The sequence below is a fragment of the Homo sapiens genome, chromosome 14 (assembly GCF_000001405.40).
Source record: "Homo sapiens chromosome 14, GRCh38.p14 Primary Assembly".
In the NCBI taxonomy this organism is placed as follows: Eukaryota; Metazoa; Chordata; class Mammalia; order Primates; family Hominidae; genus Homo; species Homo sapiens.
The window spans coordinates 66,111,430-66,129,356 of NC_000014.9; the positions used below are offsets into that span (position 1 = coordinate 66,111,430).

General features: G+C 41.6%; 1 long non-coding RNA gene across 12 annotated transcripts; it reads left to right on the top strand.

Moving 5' to 3' along the window:
* Positions 1 to 201: 201 nt before the first annotated feature.
* On the top strand, positions 202 to 17,401 carry LINC02290 (long intergenic non-protein coding RNA 2290). 12 transcript variants are annotated; one of them, NR_184236.1, is made up of 8 exons: positions 202 to 566; positions 6,479 to 6,625; positions 11,715 to 11,884; positions 12,232 to 12,395; positions 14,340 to 14,460; positions 15,038 to 15,080; positions 15,537 to 15,657; positions 16,326 to 17,401. It is a non-coding gene; the product is annotated as a long intergenic non-protein coding RNA 2290 (long non-coding RNA). The 12 variants fall into 12 exon arrangements; NR_184238.1 differs by having other exon boundaries at positions 202 to 342; NR_184242.1 differs by lacking the exon at positions 11,715 to 11,884 and having other exon boundaries at positions 202 to 925.
* The last annotated feature ends 526 nt before the right edge of the window (positions 17,402 to 17,927 follow it).

Below are 17,927 nucleotides of genomic sequence, written 5' to 3' on the forward strand. Positions count from 1 at the left end.
TCTGCTTCTTTCAGTGTGGTGGCCTCATTCTTTCTAACTGAAGAACGATCTTTACTGCAGAAAATTCTAAGCATTATTGTGGCAGATCCAGTAAGTCCCAGAGAAGGATTCTGATTGGTCCTGCTTCAGTCACATGCTTGCATCTTAGTCCAATCACTGTGGCCTGGAGGATGGGACACCATGATTTGCAAGACTCTGGTCACATGCCCACACCTGTGGCTTCTGAAGCAGAGCACCAGCAGTGACAGTCCCACCAGAACCGCATGGAATAGAAAACTGTGCATTTCCCTAAGGAAAGGGAATGCCAGAGAAGGGCAGAAGGGAAATCAGGAAGACAAAACGGTAAATTACCTACCACAAATCCAATTCATTGGTATTTTTCCACTTACACTTAACCAAGCAACGATTTCTCCTGGTCCCATAATGGAAAAGAGGGTTTATCTAGATTCATATATACAAGACTGAAGAGTGAAGAGAGACCCAGAGAATGTTCTAAAATCTGCCAGTTAGCATAATCACACAGAGAAATCTCTGCTTCCAGAGGAGGAGCCAAGTTCAAGTCAGAGGTGAGGAATGCCAACAGGAAAGCTCACTTTCTCCGGGGATATTCAGGCCAACACTAGGAAACCACAGCCAAGTCAGGCAGGGCTTGGGGCGGAACTGCTGACACCTCCACCCTAGCCAATCCAAGGTGCACGCCTGCCTCATGCAGCCCAGCGTGACTCCCGCCATTGGCACACTGTGCCCATCACAGGCTGGAGCTCCTTTCCTCCACCGTCTTCCCAACTCCTGCCAACCAGAACTTAACTACTCCTTTGGATTCTGCTTTTCACTTGTTCTTCATCAGACTATGGAAGCTTAGACTTCATAATTTGGCTGAGACTTCAAAAATAGTTTTAAAGAAAGCTATTCCCACCCTGCTAAAGTAATTACATGATTCTGCCCCCTTAAACACCCAAAGCCCTAATCTGTGTTCTCAAAACTCTGATCTTAATCGCTTTTTTCCAGTCTTATCTCCAACTACTTTTCTTCATGAATACTTCCTTCATAAACACTGTACTTTAAATTACTCTCCTTCAACTATATTTTTACTTCCAAGACGTTGGCCTTTGCTTTATGCCATTTCCCTCACTTAGGTGGTTTTTTCTCCACCAGAATTCCAGTCTTTCTTCAAATGTCAACTCAAAAACAACCCTCCTCATGGAGACTCCTGTGGCCACCTCAGTGGGAAACATTCGACATCATTGGTATTAGAATCACCGATGTTGGAAACAAGCTCACTTAAGTAGCTTCCAAGTATGAGATTTCTCTACTTGCCTCTTTAATATTCTGCCATCACTTTTAGAGAGTTATCTCACCTAACTCCAGCCGGAAATACTAATACATGCCCTGGGTCTAAAGAAAATATTGCCTTTGGAATTTGTGTAAGAATTTACGATTGAGACCTCTGAATATGCCATGAAAAATATGAGCCTTACTCTCATGAGCTGAGGGAAGTGAATGTATTTGAATCTATGAATCTCAAAACAACATGTAAAATGTGTAAGGATCTGATGCTACAAGGGTTATTAGTTTGAAATTTGGTGATTTTGCTGCCAGATGTCCATAAACTACACTACCCACTGACAAATACATTTATTAGAAGTTTTTCTTACAAAAAGACATGAACTATTTTATCAGGGAATCTAATATACAAATAGTTCCTAGAAATTGTAAGTCTTGTCATACAGCACACTAGTGGTTACAGCCTATGAAATATATAAACAACTTCTAATATAGTCTTTTCCTTTATAAAATTGTTTAGTTTATTCCATGAATTTAATACAGGTCTATATTTTAAATTGTCTACCCAAGAGTTTCCTACTTGTTAGAATTCTGTTCTTCGTCACAGCAAGCTGTTTCACATTGATGTAACTGTATGTAGAAGTTTGTTATTCTTTATTGATGTATGTACTATTTTATGATACGACTATACCACATTTATCCATTCTGTTGACAGTAGTTGTTTCCAGCTTGGGGCTACTGTGGACATTCTTGTGCACGTCTTCTGTTGGACATGTGAACTCATTTCTCGTGAATATATACCTAGGAGCATCGCATCTAGGAGTGCAACTGCTGTGTCATAGGGCAGACAAATATTTAGTTTTAATAGATATTTCCAAAGTGGTTGAACTGATTTCACTCCCTCCTATAATGTATGAGAGTTCTAATTGTTCCACATCCTCACCAACACTTAGTATTATTAGTTTTGAAAAAAATTTTAGCCATTCTGGTGTGTATGGGAATTTGTACTTTCCTAATGAATGTTATTGAACACCTTTTCATATGCTTACTAGACATCTGAATTAATCTTTTATAAAATATTTGTTTATAAAAGATCAATTCAATTAAAAAACGGTTTATTTATTTTCTTTTTCTTATAGTTCTTTATATATTTTGGATACAAGATCTTTGTCAGACATTTGTATCATGAATATCTTCTTCCAGTCTATTAGTTGCTCTATTAATCAGGGTTGTTTAGAGGGACAGGACTAACAGGATAGATGTATACATGAAAGGGAGTTTATTAAGGAGTAATGACACATACAATCACAAGGTGACATCCCACAATAGGTTGTCAGCAAGCTAAGGAGCAAGGAAGCCAGTCTGAGTCCCAAAACCTTAAAAGTAGGAAAGCTGACAGTGCAGCCTTCAGTCTGGGGCTGAAGGCCCAAGATTCCCTGGCAAACCACTGGTATAAGTCCTTCAAGAGTCCAAAATCCAATGTTCGAGGGCAGGAAGCATCCAGCACGGGAGAAAGATGAAAGCCCAAAGACTCAGCCAGTCTAGCCCTTCCACATTCCTCTGACTGCTTTTATACTGGCCTCACTGGCAGCCCTGATTAAGTGTGCGTGGCCTTTCCCAGCCCACTGACTCAAATGTTAATCTCCTTTGGCAACACCCTCACACACACACCCAGGAACAATACTTTGCATCCTTCAACCCAATCAAATTGACACTCAATATTAACCATCACAGTTGCTTAATAACTTTCTTGATGTGATTTGATCAGCAGACATTCTTAATTTAATAAAATCTAATTTATCAGTTTTTTAAATGATAATCTGGCTTTTACATTTAGATATGTGATCTACTTGCAATTATTTTATGTGTATGGTATGGAGTTCTAGAATTCAAGAAGTTAAATCCCTTCTAAAATTCTGGCACCTTGGCCAGCAAAACTTTGCAATCACACCTTTGATTTAATTAACGTGAGTAAAAGAAAAGTGAGCCTATGCAAAGAGGAATGTATGCAAAGTGAGCCAATGCCAAGGTGAAACGCCAAGAGGAACATTCTAGTATTCTCTGCAGCTTGGCATATGCTTAAAATACAATTCTTTTCAAGTGAACTCAGCAAATTGGGGGACATCTTTCACCCATCTTCGATGAGGTCATATTTGGGTCTACTGCCATTGCCATGTTTCTCAGACTTGGCTCTATTGACATTTTGGCTGGATAATTCCCTATTGTGAGCAGCTGTCCCATGCACCCTTGTAGTGTGTTTAGAAGCATTCCTGACCTCCACCCACTAGATGCCAGGAACATTTCACCCTGCAGTTGTGACAACCAAAAAATTTAAAGAACACTGGGATTCTCTCCATAAAGCCTGGGACAAGACCCAGTTTCACTGCTCTGGACAGGCAAACCTGGTCCTCCCTCTTCTCCTTACCCAGGCTGCCTTTCCTTGTTGGTAGAATTGGGGTACTACAGCAGCCTCAGAGGATTGTGGAGGGGATTGACCGTGCTGGTTTTGTGAACCCACAAATGGCTACCACTTTAACCGTTAACCACTATTCCCATGTAAAGAATAAAGTGATTTTCCTCACGTCACAGGATGAGTGGCAAAACTGGAATCTGGATCTGCATTTGTCTTACTTGAAAACCTTTTGCTGCCACACCTTGCAAATGGATGTGTATTTGGGAATGACACTAGGATAGTGGAAAGTTGTATGCACTACCCAACTATCTATCCCAGGGATGTATATGTCAGAGGAAGAAATTCTGCTGTCTTGTCTGAATCTGTTATTTGAGGGAATACCAGGTAAATGCTATCACAGTGACCCATAGTCCCTCTGTTGTAGAGAGATCTAGGCTGAGTCAGCAGGATCTGGACATAGGGTACAAAGGAGGAGGATTCCTGACCAAAAGAAGCAGCAGAAATAGATGTTTCAGTCTGTGGCTACTTGAAGCCTAGCTTTCCCCATCACCCTACAGGGCACAGAGAATAGAGAATCTCTTGCAAGTCAGTCTCCCAGGAGTCAGCCAGGGAGAGAAACACCTAACAGACCAGCAGACCCAACAAGAGACCATGAAGCAGAAGACGTGTCTCCCACAAGGCCAGATCCACAGGACTTTCACTCATGGTCATCCTTGACAAGTAACAGCAGTGTTATGATGTTGCAACCCTGTAATTTCCATTATGATCAATGTATATGTTGGGGGCCAGAGAAAGGCAGATTGATAACTTCATTTAGAGCAAACTAATTGAATTCCACTAAGAGATGCATGACTCATCTAAGAAATGTGCAAAGGGTGTCAAAGAGCACTGAGTCTCCTCCTCTGGTGATTTTTACAAGCCTCATCAATTTTTGTCCCACAGAATACTTTAATTAACATAAAAGTTCTAGAATTCTTGGAGTTAAATCCTTTCTAAAATTCTGGCATCTTGGCCAGCAAAACTTTGCCATGACACCTTTGACTTAATTAACATGAGTAAAGGAAAAGTGAGCCTACGCAAATGTCGGCTGATCAGCCGTGACACTCAGAAGAAAAGCAATAAAGACAGCCACCGGCAGTGCCTACGACAGCAGTGTCCTGGAAAGAGAGACACTTACGTGGTCCAGATTCCCTTGTTGAAAAATCCTTTCAGCCATCTTAGCCTCACACCGCTACACACTTAAGCATTCCTTGTTCTGATTCCATATGTATTGACTGAATAGAAGCTGGAGGAGTTAGGTCATGCCACTCCCTCCAATACATACATTTCAGACCCTTGATTTACATAAAAGCTGAGAAATCACTGGGGCAAAGACTCAAACTGTGGGGTTCAGTTAGAAACAACACAGCTGGTGGACTTAGCAGATGGTGGGACTTGGTGCAGTGGCAAGAAGAGGGTGTAGGATGCCCAGGGACAGTGGAATGTGCTTGTGCTTTCCTTCCCTCCCTGTTCTCTGCTGCTACAGCACTGAAATTTGCATTTAGTGTTTCTGGTGCCCACATAGGCTGGTGCCTGGAGACAAATGTCTTTCTCTGTCCTTTGTCTGTCTTTATCACGCTCCAGTTTGGTGGGGAGCAGGAAGACTAGTGAAAACCAGCTTAAATGAAGCAATAATGGAGGTGTTGAGACCTAACTCACCACAGGGAAGAAGACGAGCTATGATGAGCCCAAGCTAATGCTAAGATCAGATGTTGGGAGGAAATAGTGGTTCTTGGCCTTGTGCAGCAACTGACACCAGAATCTGCTCTGATCCAGCTCTGCCAGTGTCACATGTGTGCCTTTCGAGAAACAGTTTGCATAAACAACTCCGCTCTGGGACCTTTGCATAACTAAGAAGGAATATTTATTTACAGCAGGGATAAAGGAGCTTTGGCCTTGAGCCTTGTAGAACTGTCAGGGTTTGAATGAAGTTTATCTACCTGTGATAGCTATTAATAAACAGGATTCATGTGGGGACAAGTATAAGCAGCATCCCGGGGTCTCTAAATCTACTGGGAGAAAAGGCTGAGATTCCAGCAGCAAGCAGAGGGCTCACAGACGTTAAGATTTGGCTCTTATGGAGACTACATCTTTATTCCCAATCTGACAAAGTCAGAGATACCTGGATATCAGTGCTTACCAATCTTGCCCCCACAACTATTTTCAGTCTCTAAGGCATGGTGGATGTCCTTTCCCTATTTAAAGCCAATCTTCCACTTGTGCACTAGATCTCAACTCTGTCACTTACCTGAGGATTTTGCTCCAGCAATTCGCTTCCTTCTCTTATATCTTCAGTTTTTCTTTTCCTACTGGATCATTACCATGAGCATGCAAGCATACTATTATTTCTTCTATCTTTAAAGCAAATAAACATTCTCCTAACCCTACTTTTCCCCTAGCTCTGGCCCCATTTCTTTGCTCTGTCTCCTACCAAACGCTTCAAAAGTGCTGTATATTCTAATCAAGCACTTTCCTCTCATTCTCTCTGAAACCCTTCAATCAGTTTCTTGTCTTTAAAATTGTTCTTATAAAGGTTACCAGTTACCTACACACTCCTAAGTCTAATGCTTATTTTTTGTTTTTATCTAACTTGTTTGACCAGCAGCCTTTGGCATGACTCATCATGTCTCCATTCCCGATTCACTGTTACTCACCGGCTTCCTGGATGGACTTTCTTTGTTTCTTCTCCTATCCCAGTGATTCCACTTTTAGCTTCCTTCATTATTCTTTCTTTCCTCCCAGTGTCTTCATGTTGGAGTGGACCTTTCCTCTATCTGTCAACAGAATGGATAAATTGTGGAAGAGTAATATCAGAATACTACACATCAGTAAAAAACAACAAACTTCTGCTACAAACAATCAACATCGATGAATCTTTCAGGCAAAAGGGTGAGCTAAAGTAGTCAGACACAAAAGGCTACATACTGTATGATTCTTTCTACAAAAAAATTCAAGAACAGGCAAAATTAATCTTTGATGATAGGAGTTAAAATAGTGGCTACCTTGGATAGTGGTGGTAGGGTTATGGATTGAGAAACAAGGGAATCTTGAGTGCTGGAAAGACTCTGTTTTATATCCTGATCTGAATAATGGTTACAAGGGTATGAAAATATTCATGAAGCTGTAGTTTTTTGTAAATTGTACCTCAATCAAAAAGACATTACATAATGGAAGTGCTTACTGAGTAAATGATATTATATCTGGAATTCAGGGAGGAGGGGAAGTGAAAGGGGAGTCTATAAAATATTGATGAGTTGATAATTGTAAAATTGGGTAATGGGCACATGAAGGGTTGTTATACTATTTTGTCTGCTTTTTTAGCTTAAAAAATAAATAAAAAATATAAATATAAAATTGTCTACATAAAATATGTAATAATTGACATTATTGCACAATAATATAATTATTATGTAATATTATATTATAATGTAACAAAGTATATTATTATATAATAATATAATTATGTGATAATATTATTTGTCTACATAATAAAAATTAAACATAAAATTAATGAAAAAGCAAGTCAAATTATATCATCCCTCTGGTTACAACCTTGCCTTGACTTCCATCTCATTTAGAGTAAAAAACCAAAGTCTAAATGACTACAAGTTCCCATGTGCTGTGTCCTTATGGCCTCTGCCATCATTATCAGTCCTCACTCACCCATTCCAGTGTTAATGGCGTTTTCCCTCCTTAGGGCCTTTTCTTAGCCTGTTGTCTCTGTCCAGAATGCTCTCCCAACACATATCTACCCTCCTTCCATCTTTCCTCACATGTTATCTCTCAATGAGACCATACTGATCACCCTATTCAAAACTGCAATCTACCTCCCTGGAATTCTCAATCCCTTTTACCCTAACATATTTCCCTCCACAGAAGTAATCACTTCCTAACATACTGCATAACTTATTTATTGTTTATTGTCTATCTTCCCCCATCTCTCCTCTAAAATGCAAGCTCCTTAAAAGCAAGTATCTTTAATTTTTTCATGAAAGTATTCTAAGCACCTAAACAGTACCAAGGTCCCAAAGCACCTGGCACATAATATGTGCTGAATAAATACTTTTTTAATGAATGAAGAGATGAACAATAAATGCCATAAAAATTACGGATTCTGACTTGACCTCCCATGCATCTTGACTACAAGAGAATGTGCTGGTCATGCCACCATGATTCCTTCTGGTCCATATAAAAGTTTCTTGTTAAAATGGCATGTTGTTCTTTGATGGTGTATTGAACATGTTGGGCAATGGGCCTGTCATTCTCATTGTTCCCTATGTCTTTTTTTGTTTGTTTTTTTGTTTGAGATGGAGTCTTGCTCTGCCACCCAGGCTGGAGTGCAGTGGCGCAATCTCTGCTCACTGCAACCTCCACCTCCCAGGCTCAAGCGATTCTTCTGCCTCAGCCTGTCCAGTAGCTGGGATTACAGGCATCCACCACCATGCCCCGCTAATTTTTGTAGTTTTAGCCATATTGGCCAAGATAGTTTTGAACTCCTGACCTCAAATAATCCGCCCGCCTCAGCATCCCAAAGTGCTGGGATTACAGGCATGAGCCACTGTGCCCAGCCTGTTCCTTATCTCTTAATGAGAAAGATCTTCAGAGGCCTGGAAAGGGAGATCTGGGAGTCTCACTGACCTGGCTTTCTCAGTTTCAGTCAGTTTGGCTGTGATTGAACCCACGACACAGAAAAGCCAAAGAATTTGGATCACAAAATACAGAAACCAGTCAGCATGGCAGATGCCTGACCTGAATAGGCTGGGCTGTGTACAGGCAGAGAATGAGGCATAAGAAGCTGTCAGGCAGGGGCCTGTGGCCTTTCAGGAACAAGAGGGCAGGCTCCATCCTGACTCCTTACTCCCTCTTACAGTGTCTGTTCTCACACAACTCAGGAGGACTCTCTCTCTGGCCCTTCATGCCTATTGAATCCTAGCGACTGTCTGTCTGTTGACAAGGCACAGACTGTCTGTTGACTCTCTGTCTGTTGACAAGGCACCCAAGCCCTGACATGCATGATCCTTAGGCATCCAAATGGAGGCTAATGAGTGCATCCCAAAATGCTGGTCCAACATGATCAATACAGACTCCTTGGCTGGATTCTCAGAAATATGGATTCCAATGCAAAAGGTAGGAAGTAGGGGCTTGAAATACGTGGTTTTTTTTTTTTTAACAGTGCTCTAGAATATTCTAATTTGCAAATCAGTTTGGGAAATCAGTATAGGCTACTATTTCCAGATACAGACCCTCAACTCATTTCTACAGAGTAAATGTAGCTCTTTTTCTAATTTAGGACAGAATTTGCATTGCAAATACGATAGGCATGTCTTATTATGCATACCTATACCATTTCCCTCCCCCGTATGAATGGTATACCAAAGGGGCAAAAAGTAACCTCAGTAACTCTTAGGATTTCCCTAAGAAGTAAGTCTCCTTTTGTGGCAGTATGACCTTGGTCTGTATATGCAAATTCATAGAAATAAAAAAGAGCAAAGCCCTGCTCCCGTTCCCTAAAGGTCACCAAGTCCTACACCAGTGTCACACTGACAGAGGGGTGGGTGGGATGGGGGTTTGTAAATTTTATGACTCATAATAACAGTCCAAGTAATGCAGCTGAGATAAAGAGCTAATCAAATTTCATGCTCCAAGGCATGAGCTGATTACTGCTGGGCCAAGAGGGGATTTATTCCCTGTGGTTCTGACAGGCATAGGGGGCCAGGAGCACTCTCTGAAGCTTCACACCCTACTGACCACTTCTAAAAAGGAGGATCCATGAGTCCAGAGGCCTGACACTTACTGGGCCTGTGTTTTCTCAGATCAAAGGCAGAAGGATGGCATGAAGAGAAACCTCAAAGGCAGAAGATTTGTTGTTAAGAAAGGTGGACCAGAACTTTGTGGAATGTACCTGGGGACTCCCTAGAGAACTTGTGTTCCAGGGCCTCATCCAACCTAGAAAGGAGAGAGAACCCTGAAGACCTCTGCTCCTTTCCATTGGTGTCTTATTCTGTCTGTGAAATTAGCATAATGATGATAACCTTTTTGAGGTGGTTGCGAAGATGAAGGTGGGGAAGATTGGATTATGGGGTAGGATTACAGATGGTGCCCCAAAATTATTATTCTGACAATCTGGGAGACATCAGAGCACAGGCCCTTGGTTGAAAGACAGCAATTCTTGGGCCAGGCTCGGTGGCTTACACCTGTAATCCCAGCTCTTTGGGAGGCCAAGGTAGGTGGATCACTTGAAGTCTGGAGTTCAAGACCAGCCTGGCCAACATGACAAAATCCCGTCTCTACTGAACATACAAAAATTAGCTGGGCGTGATGGTGGGCACCTTTAATCCCAGCTACTGGAGAGGCTGAGGCAGAAGAATTGCATGAACCCGGGAGGCAGAGGTTGCAGTGAGCCCAACTTGTGCCACTGCACTCCAGCCTGGGTGACAGAGCAAGACTCTGTCTCAATTAAAAAAGAAAGACAGCATTTCTTGGGCTCAATAGCTTTGTGTTGTTAAGAACTTTGGCTCTGGATCAGAAGCATACACATAGACCCAAAGCCTGAAGAGATTTTAAGAGAACTATAAAACCCAAAACCCAGTAATTATTCAACCTCTAAGGCAATTCTCGGGCCCCATAACTTGCACCAGTAAGAAGTGGGATACCAACACTGTTTTACACCCCCAAAATGTGTTTTCCCCGTGCCCATATAAATATTGCCATGGGAGACACAAACTAAGAAAATCCTTCCAGGAACAAACCTGGGCATTGAAAGGTAACCCAACCATGGGGCTAACAGTCATAACTCCATCCTATCCCCAAAACTTCTCCAGCCCTGTGGAGTCTCTCAGTTGGAACTGAGATGAGACTAAGCTGCGCCTCCCAGTGCATCCCTCAAGATGGCTCCAGAAGGCTGTGGCTCAAGCCCGTCCTCCTTTAGGTAGGCTGGTCTCTCTTTCCTCTTCCCTAGGCAAATCCTCCTGATTTTTTGGATCTTAGATCAAATCACTCCATTTCTACTCAAAGTCTTCCCTAACCATCCCAGGCCACAGAACACTTTCCCTCCTTAGAATTCCTTATAACTTTTTACCAAGCATCGATATTGTACACAGCAATAATCTCAATAATCTCTATTTTTGTTAAAATGAACAAATATAAAGTCAATATATTTCAGCAGAAAGAGTTCTGACTTTGAAGACAGGCCCTGGTGCCTCTCCTTGCTAGCCAAGTAAACTTTGGAAAGTTTTTACCGTCTCTAAGACATGGGGGTCACCATCTGTTAAATGCAGATAATCATACCTTGTGGAGTAATTGTGACGATTAAAATAATGCTTGTAAATCACCTAGCACACAGTAGGCATTTAATACACTGGCTATTAATACTGGTCTCATTTAATTTTTCATATGCTTCTGTTTTATGTATCTAACTAAAGTTTAAGTTGTTTAAGGATAGAGTTGAGTCTCATACATTTCTATATTCTCATAGGTTAATGCCTACAATAAGTGTTCTTGAAATACAGTCACGCGTTGCTTAACCATGGGGATATATTCTGATAAATTCATCATTAGGCGATTTCATCACTGGGCGAACATCACAGCTCGTACTCACACAAACCTAGATGTCATAGCCTACTACACACCTAGGCTATATGATATAGGCTATTGCTAGCAACAAACCTGTACAGCATGTTACTGTCTTGAATACTTAGGCAGCAGAGCACAATGGTAAGTATTCGTGTATCTAAACATATTTAAACATAGAAGAACAGTAAAAATATGATGTTATAACCCTGTGGGACCACTGTTGCATATGTAGTCCATTGCTGACTGAAATGTCATTCTGTGGTGCACGGCTGTATTCGTGACTAAAGATTAAAGTAACATTTGGTGTAAATCTATTTTCTTCCCTTTGGTGTTTCCAAAATACTATCCTAAAGAGAGCAAACCTAAGTCTGGGTTCATAGCAAATGCAGTGTCTTTTTTCTAACAGTTATAGAAACAGATGATCAGTGGCCCACGGATTCCAGGTGAGGATCTGGGACCCAGACATCCAGATATTGAAAACACAGGGATGGAGTCTGTATGGAAAAAATTAAAATATAGCAAAATGTGAAATACGGAAGAGAAATCTTTCAATTTCCCAATGGAAGTGAGAAAAGAGTAAGTAAAAGATCCCCATAAAGAACCAGGGCAATAGATTCAGGTACTAGAGACCAGTGGTAAAAGGGACTTTAAAACAAATTAAGGTATCCTGACTTAGGATCCAAGTTTTTATATCATATCTGCAGAGTCAGGCATCCATACGGGTATCCACTCCAGGTTAGGCAGGAGCCTGGGGGCAGCTGGCTAAGATGCGTTCCCAAAGCTTCCTCCAGGCAGACACTGATGAATATTCTCTCTTTAAAACTAAACAAGAAAAAAACCTCAAAACTTCAAGGTATACAAGCTGATTTATGTTTGAACTTCTCTAAGAGCAACTATGTTCTCTTTCTATATTCCCAAAAAAGGCAAAGAAAAGTATTGGTCTTCCAAAACAAATAGAGGACGGAGCTGCTGCTGTTGCATGGTGTCTAGAAACTCAGACAACTTCATCATTCCATATTTGCATCCAAGAGAGAGAAAGAAAAACTACAATCATTTTCCATTTACCCATCAACCCATCAACCTCCAAGTAAGTGATCTTTAGGTCATTTGCTTCTTGCTCACAAAGGTTTAGTGATCTTTCTTGAAAGACTTTCATGTATTCTAGGGGAAAAGTGCCTCTCCAGGCCAAGCCCAGCTCTTCCACATTTAGGGTGAGCTCCCTGATTTACCACTGGAGCTCCTCACATTTCTTTACCTTGACTTCCTCTTCTGCCATCAGGCCTTGCACTGCCGTCAGCCTTGGAAAAGCCTCATAACTCTGGATGACAATATCTAGACCATTAAGCCTACATACTTCAGCAAAATTGCCTCACTGCTGTCTCTGCTCCAGGTTATAAAGATTTCTCACAGCTTACACAAGCCTCTCAAGAACTGGACTTGAGGGGTTGCCCTCAGAAAGCCGCTTCCAAGACCAAAGCCATTTTTCACTCAAGCACTCTGTCTATGGGGGCCTCAAACTACTGCACAGTAATGCTGATGATGCTAGCTCTGAGGTATTACCCAGGCATGGCCCATTGCTCAGATCTCAGAACTGGTGATCAGAGCTAGCTTGATCACCTCAAAACATATATGCATTCATACATGGATTCTGAAACATGAGCGTCAATTCCCTTTACTCATCATTGCAGAAAATCCACAGCCTACAGTGAGAACAAAAATCCACTCACTAGAATTACAAATAATCTGGTCAAGATGGTATAAAGTCAAAATCCCTGTATTATGTCTAATAATCTTCAAAATTCCCATATAACTTGGTAAGAAGAAAATTTTTCCTGGAGCCTATAAAGTTTGGGCTTTACTGAAACTACTAATTTTTTTTTTAATTTTTTTTTTTTTGAGACGGAGTTTTGCATTTGTTGCCTAGGCTGGAGTGCAATGGCCCAATCTCGGTTCACCGCAACCTCCACTTCCTGGGTTCAAGCGATTTTCCTGCCTCAGCCTCCTGAGTACCTGAGACTACAGGCACGCGCCACCAGGCCCAGCTAATTTTTGTATTTTTAGTAGAAGACGGGGTTTCTCCATGTTGGCCAGGTGGTCTCAAACTCCTGACCTCAGGTGATCCATCCACCTCTGCCTCCCAAAGTGCTGGGATTACAGGCGTGAGCCACCGCACCCGGCTCTACTAATTTTTAATGCCCCTTGGCTGACATTCCCAAGCTTCCTCTTCTCAGCCCCACATCCCAACTTTCACCTCCAGGCAGACTAAAACAGTTGAAGGATGACATTGTCAAACAGACAGCCATATTTTAAAAGCAAGTGTCAAAGTCAAGAGTATACATATCAAAATTTGCAAATGTTCATGACATTTGCCAAGGAATCTGTTCATTTCCTGTGGTGCTGCAGCCAAAGGCTACAAGATGGTGCAACGTCAGTATCTTGTCCCTCTCTGGTGCTTGACAGTGGAATCTTAGTTATGAAATGCTGTGTAGCCTGTACAAACTAGACTTTAAGGATCTTAATATGCACTGGCACTTATTTTGAATTAGGACTCTCCTTCATTATCATATCATATCCTTGCCATTTTAAACTTCTCACGGGGAAGTCCATTTAAATCAGCACTGTCCAATACAACTTCTTGCAGTGTTGGAAATCTTCTGTCCAATAAAAATCCAGTAGCCACATATGGCTACTAAGCACTTGAAATGTGGCTAGTACAACTGAGGAACTAAATTTTACTTACTTTTTTTAAATTTAAACTTACATTTAACCACAGGAGTGCAGTGACTACCATATTGGACAGCACAAATTCTAATTGTCATGACATGGAACAATGCTTGCTTCCCCAGCATTTTGAAAGCCCCAGAATGATAACCTGGCCCAGAATGACACATGGATGAATAAGAGGAATTAAAACAAAGTCCATATACGTCAAATATCAAAATGAGTGTGAGACAGCCTCCCCAGATGCAGTTTCCAAAGGAAATGACCAGTTTAACTGGTTCCATGATACTTGCCCCTTTTTCCCTGCCAGATAAAGGCTATTAAAAAACAATCAAAGTGTGAAGAGGGCAGAAAATGTGATGAAGAGATTCTTTGGAGAAAGTAGCTGCCACTGTTACCTTGGGATCTGCCTATAGTCCTCACAGAGCTTGGTAAGACAAAAGATGGCTTTCCTGTAGACATAGGAGGGAGAGAAAGCTGGGCCAGAGCTGGTTAAATCCTGCCCATGAAGACTGCCTTGGAGAGCAGTGGGACTCCAAAAGCACGAGCCAGGATGGGGTGGACTCAGTGATGTGCTGGTAAATGTTTAAGAACCAGCTCTCCAGAAAGAAAAAAAAAAAAGGCTCTGATTTTTTGCATTTGCCAATTTCTTGGGTGTAAATACTCCCTCGTGGCCAATTTCCAGCCACCTGTCTGAAGTCTCTCTGGAGTTGGGAATGGACATGCACAGTCAGCTTTTGTGAGCTGATTGTATTGTAAGTCAGCTCCAGCATTCGGCTGGTGGGCCACCAGGGAGCCATGGGTACGAGGGAAACAGCTTGCCTAGGAAATAGACAGCATCCCTTATAGTCCAAGACTTGCATGTGGGAGATCACTAGTGACAAGTGTATTTGCATATCCCAGGAGAGAAAGAATGAGTTTTAACCACTCTCCACCAAGAGCAAAAGCTGCTCAGCCAAGTCAGAGATTTCCTTTCCCCTTACCTCTCCTCTTTCTCTGCCCCTTCAGCCCTTGCAGGATAGAACATAGGAGTCTGGGAGTCTGCAAGAAGGTAAGTAAGAGAAAGAGTAGAACCTTAAAGGCAGGCAGCTGCCAATTATTGGCCTCAGCCCACTAAAAAGAAGGCGATGTCTCTCCTCTGAATGAAGACTGAGACATTGATTAATGTCATGGACTGGATTGATTCTATTTACTGAATTGAGATTGTGTGTTGAGACTCAAAATGACCATAGGACCATCTATTATTTACCAAACATTTTCTAGGGGCAGGGGATAAATTTAAATCACCCAAAAACTGATAATGATAGGGTTGAGCTTTTACTACATCATGAGTTGTGCATGCTCAACACAATTTTGACAAAAATTTTCTGCTGACTGAAGACACATTAAAAAATAGCACCATGTTTTGTTTTGTTTTGTTTCACTGTATTTTTTGTTTTTCTTTTTAAGAAATTCTCTTTTAACCTGTATGAATTCTGGGGTGAAAAAAAATTTTTTTTTTTTTAAGAGACAGGGTCTCACTATGTTGCCCCAGTTGGCCTTGAACTGCTGGACTCAAGGGATCCTCCTGCCTCAGCATCCTGAGTAGCTGGGTCTACAGGCATGAACCACCAGGCCCAGAACCCTGTGTGAGTGTTCCTTCTTCCCCTCTCTTCATGTTCACAGCATATCTTATTATTGTTAATATTGGAAGTCAACACACCAGGGATCATCATCAGACTCATGTTCTTTATTGAGAAACAAGGTATGACGCTTGGGGCAGGATGGCAGCAAAAAAGTCATATAACCTAAAGTCCCTGACATAAACAATGTGCTCACTTGGAGGCTGGGGGTGGTATTTAGGTAAAACCAACAAGATGGGAATCAGCATGACCTCTTGCTGTGTAGGACAATCAGCCTTTTGAGATCTTTAGTCACTCATGTCTGATAGTTATTTTTTTTTAAATAACTTTTAAAAAGTAATAGTGGAAAAGAAAATAGTTATTTCAAGTATTCCAAAGCTCTCAAACTCAAATGAGTAGCGTGTTCACCTTCAGTTTCAAAGTAAGCCCCACCTCCCTACATTTCAAGGGCAAGGTGAGGTGGTGACCTCAAATAGGACATGGTAGAAGGCGGCACGTAGCAGAGGCTGAACGCCCAGGACAACTGCTGGGGTCCAGTCTGCCTGCTGTGTTAACAAACCTCAGAGAGACTCTAAGACATTACCCAACGGATGAGCCTGTTGAATGTAAAGGACCCTAAAGTTAGGCTAGACCTACAGGGGCTTATTCTGTAAAAATACATTTTCTATTTACAGCTTTTGAAAGCCATATGCGATCTGTCTGCCCTGAAGTGACTACTTCATCTCCAACCAGCCCTTGGCTGGCAAAGTCAGGAAGACTCCAGTCTTTCCTGAAGACCAGGGGAGAGTTTATAACTCTAGCATCAAAGTCAGCAGCTGTTCATCTAGAAGACAACTTCCCAAAAGTCAATGTCTTTGCCTGAAGCTTTTCTTCCCAGATCTCCTATGGTGAAACAACCAAAGGGAAGAAGAATGTGGGCAGCCCTCAGTAAGACAGGAGATGAGCATCAACATTGACCCATTCTTTCTTCCAGTCCTCGATGCTTACCTTGTACATTCTTCTTTGTCTTCCGACTCAGTGCCTTTAGGGTATGGACGTTGCCTGGTCCCACACAAGCCAAGCATCAAATGGATGGCTCAACAAGGAGGCCAAGACCAGCTAATGTTTAGTGAGCACCCAAAGGGGCCACACTGGAGAGAACAGCACAGCTCCGTCTGAGAAACAGCTGTTCCTTCCTGCCTGAGAGGCAGAGTGATAGAAGATATCACAGAATGTTGCTGCTTTGTCTTCCACCCTGAACCCTCCACGACCTCCCTGTAGCTTCCTGATTTTAAGTAGACATCAAATGATTCTTAATCCTTTCTGGGTCTTGGAACGATTTGAAAATTGTCAACAGTACTGGGATTCCCAGAATAATGCACATATGTACATACTCAGATATTCCCCAAGCCCTGGATATAATTTTAAGGGAGTTCACAGACCACACTCCCCCACCCATCTGTGGACCCAGATTCTGTGGGTTCGAGATTCAGAAGCCCTGTTTCTAGGCAGGCCCTCTGTTGCTAACGCCCCTCGAGAACATCACCCTAGATGATTATCCCTTCTTCCTCCACTCCTTCCCACCTTCTCCAACTGCTGGGTTTCAGCACAAAGATTGCTTGCCAGTTAAACTGGCACCATGGACCGCACAGTAGTTGTTTCTTGGGTCTAGAGGAAACAGCCAGATTCCTTTAAGTAAATCATGTCTTAGTTATTGATTGTCTCCACTTGAAGTTTTTGACAATCTCTGATTAAATCATAAACCACTGCATCCTCCATCTCCTGCTTCAGTCTCTCAAACCAAATGTCAGTTTCTTTGTAGCCCTTCAATTCAAAGTTTGCAAATTCTGGATCTAGGCTTCATTCTTTCACTCATTTAAGCACTAACATCTATTGCATAACTATTAAATGCCAGGCACTGTTCTAGGCATCAGGGACATAATAATGTACAAAACAGCCTTCATGTTAATTTACTTATTCTCTTCCAAAATGCTAATTCTAACCAGTGCTGCTTTAAAAACCATTATAATTATTACAATAACTGCCTAAGTTATAAGCTCTATTCTAAATAGTTAATATGTATTATTATTTTTCAGAAAACTCTATGAGGTAGGTATTATTATTATCATTCTTATTTTACAGAAGTGAAAATCATAAAGGTTAAGTAATTTGCCCCAGCTAGAGAGGGACAAAGACAAGATGTAACATGAGGCAGTTTGACTAAATTACTTACTGCTAAATTCAGCATCCCTGATTATGGTTACAAAGCAAGATTAGATTCTTTAGCACTGTTGAAA